Genomic DNA, 13,147 nt, shown 5'->3' with positions numbered 1-13,147 from the left:
AGGACAATTAGGGAAATGTGAATATAGGCCATATATTAGATGATTAAAGAATTGTTGTTGGGCTGGGTGCGGTGTCTCACACCTGTAATCCCAGCACTTTGGGAGGCCAAGGCGGGCAGATCACTTGAGGCCACAGAAAAAAAAAGAATTGTCCTTAATTGTTAAGTTAATTTTCTTTTCCTTTTCTTTTTTTTTTTTTTTTGAGACAAGGTCTTGCTCTGTTGCCCGGGCTGGAGTGCAGCGGCGTGATCCCAGCTCACTGCAACCTCCACCTCCCGGACTCAAGTGATCTTCCTGCCTCAGCCTCCCAAGTAGCTAGGATTACAGCTGTGTGCCACCAACCCTGGCTAATTTCTTTATCTTTGGTAAAGATGGGGTTTTGCCATGTTGCCCAGGTTGGTCTCAAACTTCTGGTCTCAAGTGATCCACCCACCTTGACCCCCACAAAGTGCTGGGATTACAGGTGTGAGCCACCATGCCCTGCCTGTAGTTAATTTCTTTAAATGTGATAATGGTATCATATTTATTTAGGTGAAAGTAATTATTCCTAGAGGATGCATGGTCAAGTATTCAAGGATTAACTGTCTGCAACTTACATTTTTTTTCTTTTTTTGGGACACATCTCGCCCTGTTGCCTAGGCTGTGGTACAGTGGTGCAAATATGGCTCACTGCAGTCTTGACCTCCCAGGCTGAAGAGATTCACCCAGCTCAGCATCCCAACGTGCTGGGATTACAGGAGTGAGCCACCGCACCCGGCCTGCACTTAATTTCAAATGGTTCGCCACATACATATTCATATGGCAAAATGTTAACTGTTCAAGCTAGGCGGTAGTTCACTGTACTATTCTTTCAACTTTTTTATATGTTTGAACATTTTCATTAAAAATGTAGGAAAATAGTTTGGGAGGCTGAGGTGGATGATCATTTGAGGTCAGAAGTTTGAGACCAACCTGGCCAACATGGTGAAAGCCCGTCTCCACCAACAACACAAAAAATTAGCCGGGCGTGCTGGCACACACCTGTAAGCCCACCTATTTGGGAGGCTGAGGCAGGAGTATCGCTTGAACCTGAGAGGCGGATGTTGCAGTGAGCCAAGATTGCGCCACTGTACTCCAGCCTGGGCAATGGAGCAAGACTCTGTCTCACACACACACACACACACACACAAAAAAAAAGTAGCAAAATGGGAACAGATTGTGAGGATAAGAGAAAAAAAAAAATGTTGGAAAAAACAGAATACAAGTTTACAAAAGAAATGTGGTATGATGTTAAGAAAATGAGCTTTACCAGCCTGAGCAAGATGGCAAAGCCCCGTATCAAAAAAAAAAAAAAATTATGGCTGGGTGTGTGTGTGTAGCTCACACCTGTAATCCCAGCACTTTGGGAGGCTGAGGCACGAGAATCACTCGAACCTGGGAGGCGGAGGTGGCAGTGAGCCGAGGTTGCCCCACTGCACTCCAGCCTGGGTGACAGAGCAAGACTCCATATTTAAAAAAAAAAAAAAAATAGCCTGGCAGCATGGTGCCCACCTGTAGTACCAGCTACTGGGGAGGCTAAGGTGGGAGAAGCACATGAGCCCAGGAGGCAGAGGCTGCAGTGAGCCCTGATCATGCCACTACACCCCAGCCTGAGTGACACAGAAAGACCCTGTCTCAAAAAAAAAAAAAAGAAAAGAAAAGAAAAGAAAATGAGCTTTAGAGTCAGGGAGATCTGGATTCAAACTGGACCTCGTACCTAACATCAATCCCTGAACTCCTGAACTCAGTTTTTCAGTATCTGGTAACAGTAAGAAATTCACAAATATTACTTCCTTCCTTCCCAATAAACACCAAGTATTTTCTCTCCCTTTATTCAGAAACTTGGAGAGTGGACCAGTCTCCTGGAGTCTTATGCCACTGCTTCTCCCTTTCACCTTCCCTCCTAGACTCCAGACAAAGAACATCATTCAATCCCCTCTAGAGGAAGAATCTTCTCCAAACTCTCCTTGCAGAGTTTAATTATACTTTTTCCCTACTGACGCCACATAGGGATCTTGGGAGACAGAAAAGAGGCAGGAACGGAGATAAACATGGGAACAGCAAAACTTGTGCCTTTTTATCAAAGCCTCCTGTAGGCTTTATAATATGTAAATATTTGATAAAATCCTGTAGAGGGGCCAGGCCTGGTGGCTCACACCTGTAATCCTAGCACTTTGGGGGGCTGAAATAGGAGAACTGCTTTTGCCCAGAGTTTGAGATAAGCCTGGGCAACATAATGAGACCCTTGTTCTACCAAAAAAAAAAAAAATGTTTTTTTAAATCTTCTAGTGGAAAAGGAACAGGAATAAGTATATATTGAGCACCTACTGTGTGCCAAAAACTGGTAGGCACACAAGTTATCCCACTTAATCCTCAAAACAGCCCTAATTTACAGTTTATTTATAGTTTAGAAAGGTTAAATAACTTGTCAAGGATAAGGTGTGTAACTCTCAAGCCCATGCAAGCTGTCCATCGCTCCTGCTAAAATAATTTCTTTTTTTTTTTTTTTCCCCTGAGACAAAGTCTCGCTCTTGTTCCCCCCCAGGCTGGAGTGCAATGGCACAATCTTGGCTCACTGCAACCTCCACCGCCCGGGTTCAAGCGATTCTCCTGCCTCAGCCTTCCCAGGAGCTGGGATTATAGGCGCCTGCCACCAAGCCCAGCAAATTTTTGTATTTTTAGTAGAGACAGGGTTTCATCATGTTGGCCAGGCTGGTCTACGAACTCCTGACCTCAGGTGATCCGCCCACCTCGGCCTCCCAAAGTGCTGGGATTACAGGCGTGAGCCACCACGCCTGGCCTAAAATAATTTCAAATATCCACCATTGCTAAAGAAATTACAAAGATCACTTTCTATTTATTTATTTATTTATTTTTGAGACAGGGTCTCACTCTGTGGTATGATCACACTTCACTGCAGCCTCCACCTCCTGGGCTCAAGCGATCCTTCCACCTCAGCCTCCCTAGTAGCTGGGACTACAAGTGCAAACCACCACTCCTGGCTAATTTTTGTATTTTTAGTAGAGACAGGGTTTTGCCGTGTTGCCCAGGCTGGTCTCAACTCCTGAGCTCAAGGAATCTGCCTGCCTCAGCCTCCCAAAGTGCTGGCATTAGATGCATGAGCCAGCACACCTGGACCTACAAAGGTTAAATAACACTTCTTTTTACAACTTGGGAGAATTATGTAATGACATGTATCAATTAGCAAAAAGTATTTCTTAACAATATTTTATGAAGTCTAACCCAAGGCAGCTTAGGTGCAAATAAAGACTAACTAAAACTGCGGTCACACAGGATTTAGTCATCCTGTCTAAGGTGACAGGATTTACTCATCCTTCCTAAGGTGACATAAATTTAAGCAACAGTTGAGCTCATGTTCATTCAGTTGACCAGCTGGTTCAAATATGTCTGCAGCTTTTACTGAATGAAGTCTCAGAACTGCAGTTCAAGCCCCAGAAATGACTTGCACCAGGGTTAGATATCTAGCTGGTATTAGTGAGAGCTAAAAAACCACTCTGTTCTACCTTGCCTGCCTGACTTCTTGCTAATGGAAATGTACAACTGAATCAAATCGTTTCAATAGTAAAGGATGAAGGACGGAGCCAATATGCCACATTTCACAAAAAGGTCAATGTTCCACATGCCCAAGATAGCTCACCTCTGTTAGGTTCCTGGTAAACCTGCACTTTGCCCATCTCCACCCCTAGCCGCCTAGAGAAGAGAAAGGGGGAAAAAGCTGAAAAAGTAATAGAAGAAACCCAGTATCTTTACTATTTAAGGAGACTCGTAAATCGATAAGAGTAAAATAAAATAAAGTTATTCTTCTTATAAAATTTAAAGTCAACATTAAATTGTTACATCAATCCATTACCTAGCCCCTCACCCCAACCCCATGTCTCCCCAGGAAGGACTATGCAGTCCCGCTCTGCCTGCCTCACTAGCCATCTTCCTTGGACACTCTGTACTCCAGCCCACGTTCCTGAGACACACCAAGAACTCCTCCTGCATGCTGCAGAGGCTTGGAATCTGCTGTCCCCTCTGCTTGGGGGGGTTCTGCCTCCAGACCTTCACTTGGTGGCTCATTCAGGTTTCTCAACTCACACACCATCCCTTCAGTTTAAAAGCACTTCAGCACACATGCTAAAGCAGAACAACCTGCCCCATCATTACTTTCACACAGTTTTCTTCATAGCATTGACATCATCTGAAATTACCTTGTTTGTTTTGTTGACTTGATTTCTGTTTGGCTCCCATACTAAAATGTAAATTTCATAAAAAGGATGGATCTTGACTCACTGATAATCCCCAACATCTAGATCAAGGTCTAGTACACAGTAGTAGGGGTACAATATTTGTTTAATAAATATCTAAAATTATACTAAACTATAAGCTATAAGTTATTTCATATAATATACATGTTAATGTTCTTTTTTTGAGACAGAGTCTCGTTCTGTTGCCCAGGCTGGAGTGCAGTGGTGCAATCTCAGCTCACTGCAACCCTCCTGCGTTCAAGCGATTCTCCTGCCTCAGCCTCCCAAGTAGCTGGGACTACAGGTGCCCGCCACCACGCCCAACTAATTTTTTGTATTTTTAGTAGACGCGGGGTTTCACCTTGTTAACTAGGATGGTCTCAATCTCCTGACCTCGTGATACACCCGCCTTGGCCTCCCAAAGTGCTGGGATTACAGGCGTGAGCCACCGCGCCTGGCCCCAGTGTGCTTTATACTCAAATAATTATATATATATATAGCATCTAACACAATCCCTGGCACTTATAAGGCACTCAATAAATGTCTGCTGAAAGAATATGTAGGGAGATGGGATAGTTTACAAAAAGAATAGCCCTTAATATATACAGATGAGACATACTACATGAACATCTTGCATGATGAAAAAAAAGATACATGATGAAAAAAAGATATAATTATTTTATAATTATAAAATATCTGCTTTCAAATTTAACAATAACTGCTAATCTGATTATCAAATTTAAAGCATCACATAATGAATATAGATTTTAATGGTACAATTATAACTCACTCTGCAATTTTCTTTGATAGCTCCATACATGATGAATTCGAGTTTGCTGAAAACAACACCAGACCACCTTTGGTTATGTTCATCTTGGTTTCTAATTCAGGTGGCGTCACACAAAACATCAAAACCTTCTTGGTTTTCCAATTTTCAGAGCCTAGAAGGATATAATACTTATTAAAAACTGCCATATGATATGAAATATACCTGAATGAATTTTTTTTAAAGGAAATGACTTCAGCTGAAGGAAATTAGTTTCCATCCTAATAGTATTTTTTAAATATTAGATATATATGGACAAACAGAAAGTTCAGTTGGATTTCAGGGTCCTAAATTTATGGAAATACATTATCACATGATGTTCACAACCACTAAGAAGAAATGATAAACTTACAAGAAAGGCGGAGCTGAAGAGCTCAATGTTTTACTGATTGCTGCTTAAAGTCAATTATGGACAACCTCCTTTTATTCTCTGACAACAAAATTCCTCCTGGATTAACACACAGAAAAATGGCAGAGCCATTAGCGAGAACAAGGACTGATTAATCCTTAGACAAAGAATAAATGACCCATCTACACCCAGCTTTTCCTGTAATCCTTGTTTACCATAAAACCTTTCCCGGCCTTTCAGCTGCCCTGTGTCATGTCTAAAACTGACCTCTCATCTTCATTTTCCTCAAGTGGAACACGGGCTGACTAGATAATCACCTTGAAGGACACTTAAGCGACCACCCAAATGACAGTTTTGGTCACACCCAAATTTTGGCAGTGGGCCAAAAATAAAAAGGTCCCTGGCTTATAAATCATCAGTGCTGGTCAGATGTGGTGGCTCACGCCTGTAATCCTAGCACTTTGGGAAGCCAAGGCAGGCAGATCACGAGATCAAGAGATCAAGACCACCCTGGCCAACATGGTGAAACCCTGTCTCTACTAAAAATACAAAAAATAGCTGGGCATGGTGGCGCGTGCCTGTAGTCCCACCTACTCGGGAGGCTGAGGTAGGAGAATGACGTGAACCTGGGAGGCAGAGGTTGCAGTGAGCTGAGATCGTGCCACTGCACTTCCAGCCTGGCGACACAGCAAGACTCCATCTCAAAAAAAAAAAGTCGTCATCATTGCTGAGTGTCCTCATCACATAATGGAGATGCTAGATGGGAGGAACAGCAACAATCCAGCAGGCTGTGGGCAGGGGGGCCCTTTCTCAGCAAGCCCACTGCATTTCCACAGTTGTATGTTCACCTGGGACCTCTGGGAAGGCTGGTGTAGATCATCAATGAGCTGAAACTAAGCTAATCTTTTTCATTATTCTCAAATTTTAATTATACAAGTAAAACACAAACACATCCTCCCTATAAAAACCTGAAACATGGCTGGGCGCGGTGGCTCAGACCTGTAATCCCAGCACTTTGGGAGGCCAAGGCAGGCGGATCACAAGGTCAGGAGTTCAAGACCAGCCTGGCCAAAAGGGTGAAATCTGTCTCTACTAAAAATACAAAAATGAGCTGGGCGTGGTGGTGGCTGCCTATAGTCCCAGCTACTCTAGAGGCTGAGGCTTGAGAATCGCTTGAACTCAGGAGGCAGAGGTTGCAGTGAGCCAAGATTGCACCACTGTACTCCAGCCTGGGCAACAGAGCGAGACTCCGTCTCAGAAAAAAAAAAAAACCTGAAACATGATAGTTAAGGATAAAGTCACCAGCCTCGATCCCAGGTCCTCCCCAGAAGTGAGGGTTCTTATCAGTTTGGTAGGGACAACATAAGACTTTTTCTATGCATTTATACATGTGACCTCCATAAAAATTATATACGGCCAGGCACAGTGGCTCACGCCTGTAATCCTAGCACTTTGGGAGGCTGAGGTGGGCAGATCACTTGAGGCCAGGAGTTCGAGACCAGCCTGACCAACATGGTGAAACCCCATCTCTACTAAAAATACAAAAAAATAAAAATAAAAATAAGCCAGGCATGGTGGTACATGCCTGTAATCCCAGCTACTCATGAGGCTGAGGCAGGAGAATCGCTTAAACCCAGGAGGCAGAAGTTGCAGTGAGCTGAGATCCACTGCACTCCAACCTGGGCAATGAGAACAAAACTCCATCTAAAAAATTAAAAAAAAAAAAAAAAAAAAAAGGCCACGCAGTGGCTTACGCCTGTAATCCCAGCACTTTGGGAGGCCGAGGTGGGTGGATCACCTGAGGTCAGGGGTTCGAGACCAGCCTGGACAACATGGCGAAACGCTGTCTCCACTAAAAATACAAAAGATTAGCCGGGCGTGGTGGCAGGTGCCTGTAGTCCCAGCTAATCGGGAGGCTGAGGCAGAAGAATGGCATGAACCCAGGAGGCAGAGCTTGCAGTGAGCCAAGATCGCGCCACTGCACTCCAGCCTGGGCGACAGAGCGAGACTCCGTTTCAAATAAAGAAAAGAAAAGAAAAGAGAAGAAGAAAGAAAGGGAAGAAAGAAAGAAAAGAAAGAAAGAATACGTTTAATCATCAACATTCTGGAAGGGATCTTAAATACTTCTAAAGCCATCTCTCAACCAATAAACATGTGTGTTTAAGAACAAAAGGTATGGCCAGGCACAGCAACTCACACCGCTAATCCCAGCACCTTGTGAGGCCAAGGTGGGCTGACTGCTTGAGCCCAAGAGTTTGAGACCAGCCTCGGCTACATAGTGAGACCTAGTCTCTACAAAAAAATCAAAAAATGAGGTGGGAGGATCACTTGAGCCCAGATGGTCAGGGCTGCAATGAGCCATGATTGCACCACTTCACTGCACTCCTGCCTGGACGATGGGAATGCGACCTCGTCTCAAAAAAATAAAAAAATAAATAAATAAAAAATTGCCGGGCACGGTGGCTCATGCCTGTAATCCCAGCACTTTGGGAGGCCGAGGCAGGTGGATCACGAGGTCAGGAGATCAAGACCATCCTGGCTAACACAGTGAAGCCCCGTCTCTACTAAAAATACAAAAAATTAGGTGGGCGTGGTGGTGGGCGCCTACAGTCCCAGCTACTCGGGAGGCTGAGGCAGGAAAATGGCGTGAACCTGGGAGGCGAAGTGGGCAGTGAGCTGAGATCATGCCACTGCACTCCAGCCTGGGAGACAGAGCGAGACTCTGTCTCAGAAAAATAAATAAATAAATAAATAAATAAATAAATAAATAAATAAAAGGGTGTTACAGGTCCAGGAAAATAAATAAAAACAAACTAATTTTCCTGTAGTTGTAAATACAGGATTTGGAGTCAAACTCATGTTTGCATCTTGAAATACTTCCCCTAAACTCACAGTGAGGACTTGCATAAGTTATCTAATACTCAAAATCTCTTAGCCTCAGTTCTGCCATCCATACAACTGTGAAAACTGACCCCACAGGTGACTGTAAAATTTCTGCAAGGCACTTAACACAGTGCCCTGCATATCGGACATGCTACCTATGAACTGACTTCTAACATCTTGATTATCTACCATATAAGTACAGTAACAGCCATGGGGGGAGGGGCATTTTTTTTACACCCCCTAACCTTCAAATAAGAAGCTCCTTAAAGTACAGCAGGATTCCTGATAGGAGTTGGAACACTTAGAATGAAAGTATTTTAGAGGTAGGAAGAGATCTTAGAGGTAGTTCAGCCCATCCCTCCTAAATCTTTTGTTCAAAGCCCATCTGTAGGAATCCTGCCAAGGAACCACTCAACAGAAGCTTGAACAGCCCCAGGGTCTGATGCCCACATCCGCTGAGGGCCCATCATTCCAAATTCTTCCTTAGAACATGCTGTGGCCAGGCGCCGTGGCTCATGCCTATAATCCCAGCAAATTGGGAGAGCGAGGCAGGCGGATTACCTGAGGTCAGAAGTTCAAGACCAGTCTGGCCAACATGGTGAAACCTCATTTCTACTAAAAATGCAAAAATTAGCTAGGCCTGGTGGCACACACCTGTAGTCCCAGCTACTCACGAGGCTGAGGCAGGTGAATCGCTTGAACCTGGGAGGCGGAGGTTGCAGTGAGTAGAGACTGCACCACTGCACGCCAGCCTGGGTGACAGAGCAAGACTGTCTCAAAACAAACAAACAAACAAACAAAAGAACATGCTGAGATTCCTCTTCCTGCAGCTTCTGCCCACTGGTTCTTGTACTCTCCTTAGAGATTTATGGGAAACATCAAATTCCTTTTCCACAGGATGGCCTCCAAACTATTTCAAGATAGCTCTCCTGCCTTTGTATATTTTTTCCAGGATATTTCCTGAAGTCTTTCCTTATCTCTCATGGTTTAAAATGGCCTGCAACACCCTGCATGTGGTCTCTGACGTTCTAGACTTCAGATATAGGCTTCTATATAGAATCCTAACCTAAGACCACCCTCAAAATGACATGGTGGAGTGGACTGGGGAGCATCCACTTGGAAATGACTATCAACATAGTCATGTTTTGTGACTATTCACTTCACAAGTTATTCAAACATAAGGGCTGTTTATTTTTCTTTTTTTTCTTTTTTTTTTTTTTAAGATGGAGTTTCACTCTTGTTGCCCAGGCTGGAGAGCAATGGCGCGATTGCGGCTCACTATAACCTCCGCCTCCCCGGTTCAAGCGATTCTCCTGCCTCAGCCTCCTGAGTAGCTGGGATTACAGGCATGCGCCACCACACCCGTCTAATTTTGTATTTTTAGTAGAGACAGGGTTTCTCCATGTTGGTCAGGCTGGTCTCAAACTCCCAAGCTCAGGTAATCCACCCGCCTCAGCCTCCTAAAGTGCTGGGATTACAGGCATGAGCCACTGCGCCCGGCCATAATGCCTGCTTGTAGTTTTAGTTCTCCTTTCTCCTGTTGGTAATTAAGGCTGTGTTCTTTACCAAGCTTCAAGAAAAGAGTTATAAAGACTATCCTCAAAAACATAATAATCATCGAGATGGGGCTGGCAGGAGGCTTGTTAGCACAAGGTTTTAGTGTGAAATGAGAACACTCCCTTATTTTCCCCATGAGCTATAACTGCTTTATGTTTATTCTAAATTTACTCTAGAATGTGTGAGAATTATTTATAACATGTATGAAAACACACCGTTTTCAGAGAATCTTAGCACCTTTTAAAGAGCAAATCATACTCCTCTTTTGAATAAGATTTTAGAATGTTAAGTCTCATGAATGAAGAAACCACACTGAGAGATCATTTCCTTTGGACAGACTAGCAGTCATTTCAAAACCACTCACCCACATTTCAGATGGGGAAGACTCACATTGAAGTGTGTTGTCTTCCCTCTAAAGCATCTACTGTGTAAATACCTTCTACTTAAAGATGGCTGAAGTAGGAGTGTGAAGAGTTGGGTTTGCCTTCCAGCTACTAGGCCATGTGGACATCACTTGTCCTTGCTGGGCCTCAGCCTTTACCTTCCAGACAAGAGATATAACCTTGGTAAAAAGATTTCCCCATCAGAATTTAAGGTCCAGGCAGCAGAGACTATTTTTTACCATGATATTCTCTGCTGTATACCCTGTGCAGCTGCCACACGGTAGAGGCTAAACAAATGATTGCTGAATAATGCCTGACTTCAATGAGTCACAATGATTAACAAATGAAATTGAAAGATGAACTAAAAGGCATCATAAAGTATAAAAACCGGCCAGGCGCAGTGCCTCAGGCCTGTAATCCCAGCACTTTGGGAGGCCAAGGTGGACGGATCACCTGAGGTCAGGAGTTCGAGACCAGCCTGGTCAACAAGGCGAAACCCCTACTAAAAAATACAAAAATGAGCCAGGTGTGGTGGCATGCACCTGTAACCCCAGCTACTTGCGCAGCTGAGGCAGGAGAATCGCTTGAACTTGGGAGGCAGAGGTTGCAGTGAGCTGAGATCGCGCCACTACACTCCAACCTGGGCAACAGAGCAAGACTCTGTGTCAAAAAATTAAAAAGTATAAAAATTTATGTTTATTGGATGGGCATGGTGGCTCACGCTTGTAATCCCAGCACTTTGGGAGGCCAAGGCAGGCAGATCACAAGGTCAGGAGTTTGAGACCAACCTGACAAACGTGGTGACACCCTGTCTCTACTAAAAATACAAAAAATTAGCCGGGCGTGGTGGCGCATGCCTGTAATCCCAGCTACTCAGGAGGCTGAGGCAGGAGAATCGCTTGAACCCGGGAGGCAGAGGTTGCAGTGAGCTGAGATCGCGCCACTGCTCTCCAGCCCGGGAGACAGAGCAAGACTCTGCAAAAAAAATAAAAATAAAAAAACTTATTATGTATGTTTATTAGTGATGTGCCTCACTCCAAGGAAATCTGTTTTTAATATCAATATTGATGAGAATTTGAAGGGCAAATTCTAAACCGAATTACTCTTCCACTCCTGTATGATCCCAGGCTCTGCTTATCTCTCCAACACAATGTTAACTCATGCCTAACATCTGAGTGTTCACAATGCTTATGACAACCCAGTGAAGCAAGCACTAGAATGAGACCCATTTTAGACAGGGAAGCTAGGTTTCCAGATGAAGAAACTTACTCAAGGCTGCAAAGCCTCTAAGCAGCAAAAATAGCTCGGTCTCAGCATGATTTGTAGTAGTTAGTCCTATGCAACAGTGGGCTGCACAGCCTGTCTCTCAACCCACACAGAAAACGACTTGGCACCCCGCTGAATTCTGCATACAGAGAGCAAAATAGGACAAATACCCAGATTTTGAAAAATGTCTATTGTAAACATGCCTTGTTTGGAAAACAATTTATATAATAGTGCCAAAGAAAGAAAACAGAAGTTTGATTCGGTATTTCCACTTCGGGTAATTATCCCAAGGAAATAAGGAAAAAGCTATATGCTCAGTGATGGTGGTCAACATAAGACTTTTCAAAGAACAAGTACACCAGACCTGTGTAAAGGTTCCATAATAAAGTAATTAAGTAAAACACAGAATAGAAATTCAATAAATATTCAACACGACGCAAAAGTATCTATGAATGACTTTAAGTGGAACGAGCTCAAATCACAACTGAGTAATAATGGTACACACGAGGGCAGCAGGAAAGGAATATGGACAAAAAGGATATGCTTTAGTGGGGTTCAATAATGTGGGTGAATTATTTCTATTTGTGCAATTAAATTTTTTAAACACTAGAGATCACACCTCAAGCCCCAAAGCCCCATTCCGCATTTTCATACTCCTTTCAAAAGCTAAACACCCAAACGGAGCCAACATTAACATAAGAGAAAAATTATTATCATCAAGCAGAATACTTAAAAATTTCATCACGGTTCCCCCTCAATCTCTGCTGGGGTGAGTTCTGAGTTGGATAAAATCATCCTTTAGGAGGTGAGAGATATATTCGTAACTAGCAAAGCCAGGTAAATTAAAATCAGGGGCTCCGTGTCAGCTTAGGGACGGAGAATGGCTGGGTCTGGGCTTGCTTTCAGGGCTGCTCACCACAGGTCCCATCATCAGGGTTCGACTCCCCAGCGGCGCCTCAGGGAGAGGAGAGAGCCCAGGCACCGGACGCCCGTCCCCCGCCCCCGCCGACCCCTGGCGGGAGAGGAAGAAGGGAGGGAAAAATGGAAGGGCCGCGGGCGCGAGATCGCCCCAGTGAGCCCCCAAGCAGCCACCACCCAGGGACCCCGACCCGTCCGCCTGCCGGCGCCGCGGGCTCCCCGCCCCTTGCACCTGCGCCCCGCAATGCCGGAGCCAGCCAGCCCTCGCTGCCGCTCGCCACTGGCTCCCGCCCGCCTACCTGGCCCCGACCCCAGCCCCGGCCCCGCCGCAGCCTCAGCTGCAGAAGGAAGAAAGCGCCGGGTCTCCTGGCGGCCTCTCTAGGAGCAAAATGGCGACTCCATGCACAAGATTGGCGTCCGCGGTGACTGCGAGGCCGGTGGGCGGGGAGGGGCGAGGGCGGGACTAGAGCCCGGACAGCGGAGGCACCTAGCTGGGGGCTGTGGGCGTGGCCCACCAGTGGGTAAGGCGCGGGGCAGTGGGTGTAGCCACAGGGGTGGAGTCGGGCTGGCACGATGGGCGGGGCGGTGGGCGGGGATGCGCCTGTTTTGGTCCCTGGGGAGCTGCTAGCCCCACACCAACTGTGACAGCCCAGGCAGGTTACAAGGAATGAATGTGGACAGAGTATGACATTTGGAA

General features: G+C 45.1%; 1 protein-coding gene across 20 annotated transcripts in view, besides 3 other annotated features; it reads right to left on the bottom strand.

Moving 5' to 3' along the window:
* Window positions 1–13,147, bottom strand: part of PRPSAP2 (phosphoribosyl pyrophosphate synthetase associated protein 2) — a 74,989-nt gene that overhangs the window by 60,277 nt on the left and 1,565 nt on the right. For 6 of the 20 annotated variants that reach the window (XM_047436415.1, NM_001353101.2, NM_001353098.2 and 3 more), the window contains 2 exons: window positions 5,059–5,209; window positions 3,677–3,729 (listed from right to left, as the gene is read on the bottom strand). In XM_047436415.1, coding sequence (XP_047292371.1) covers window positions 3,677–3,729; window positions 5,059–5,209 — 204 coding nt within the window. Of the gene's footprint in view, window positions 1–3,676; window positions 3,755–5,058; window positions 5,210–5,446; window positions 5,543–11,535; window positions 11,672–12,749; window positions 12,944–13,147 lie in introns of those variants that run through there. The other 14 variants (NM_001353106.2, NM_001353102.2, NM_001243940.1 and 11 more) reach the window with 10 other exon arrangements.
* Window positions 12,423–12,782: a silencer, noted in NCBI's record as "silent region_8280". NCBI's record gives its function as "represses an Ori minimal core promoter by ATAC-STARR-seq in GM12878 lymphoblastoid cells {active_cell/tissue: GM12878}" and the evidence as "EXISTENCE:reporter gene assay evidence [ECO:0000049][PMID:35858748]".
* Window positions 12,423–13,101: a biological region, named in NCBI's record as "NANOG-H3K27ac-H3K4me1 hESC enhancer GRCh37_chr17:18761223-18761795".
* Window positions 12,529–13,101: an enhancer, noted in NCBI's record as "NANOG-H3K27ac-H3K4me1 hESC enhancer chr17:18761223-18761795 (GRCh37/hg19 assembly coordinates)". NCBI's record gives its function as "activates a minimal SCP1, AML or CMV promoter by ChIP-STARR-seq in primed H9 embryonic stem cells {active_cell/tissue: H9 hESC(primed)}" and the evidence as "EXISTENCE:reporter gene assay evidence [ECO:0000049][PMID:30033119]".

This window comes from Homo sapiens, chromosome 17 (assembly GCF_000001405.40).
Source record: "Homo sapiens chromosome 17, GRCh38.p14 Primary Assembly".
NCBI classification, from domain to species: Eukaryota; Metazoa; Chordata; class Mammalia; order Primates; family Hominidae; genus Homo; species Homo sapiens.
This window is presented reverse-complemented; position numbering and strand designations above follow the sequence as displayed.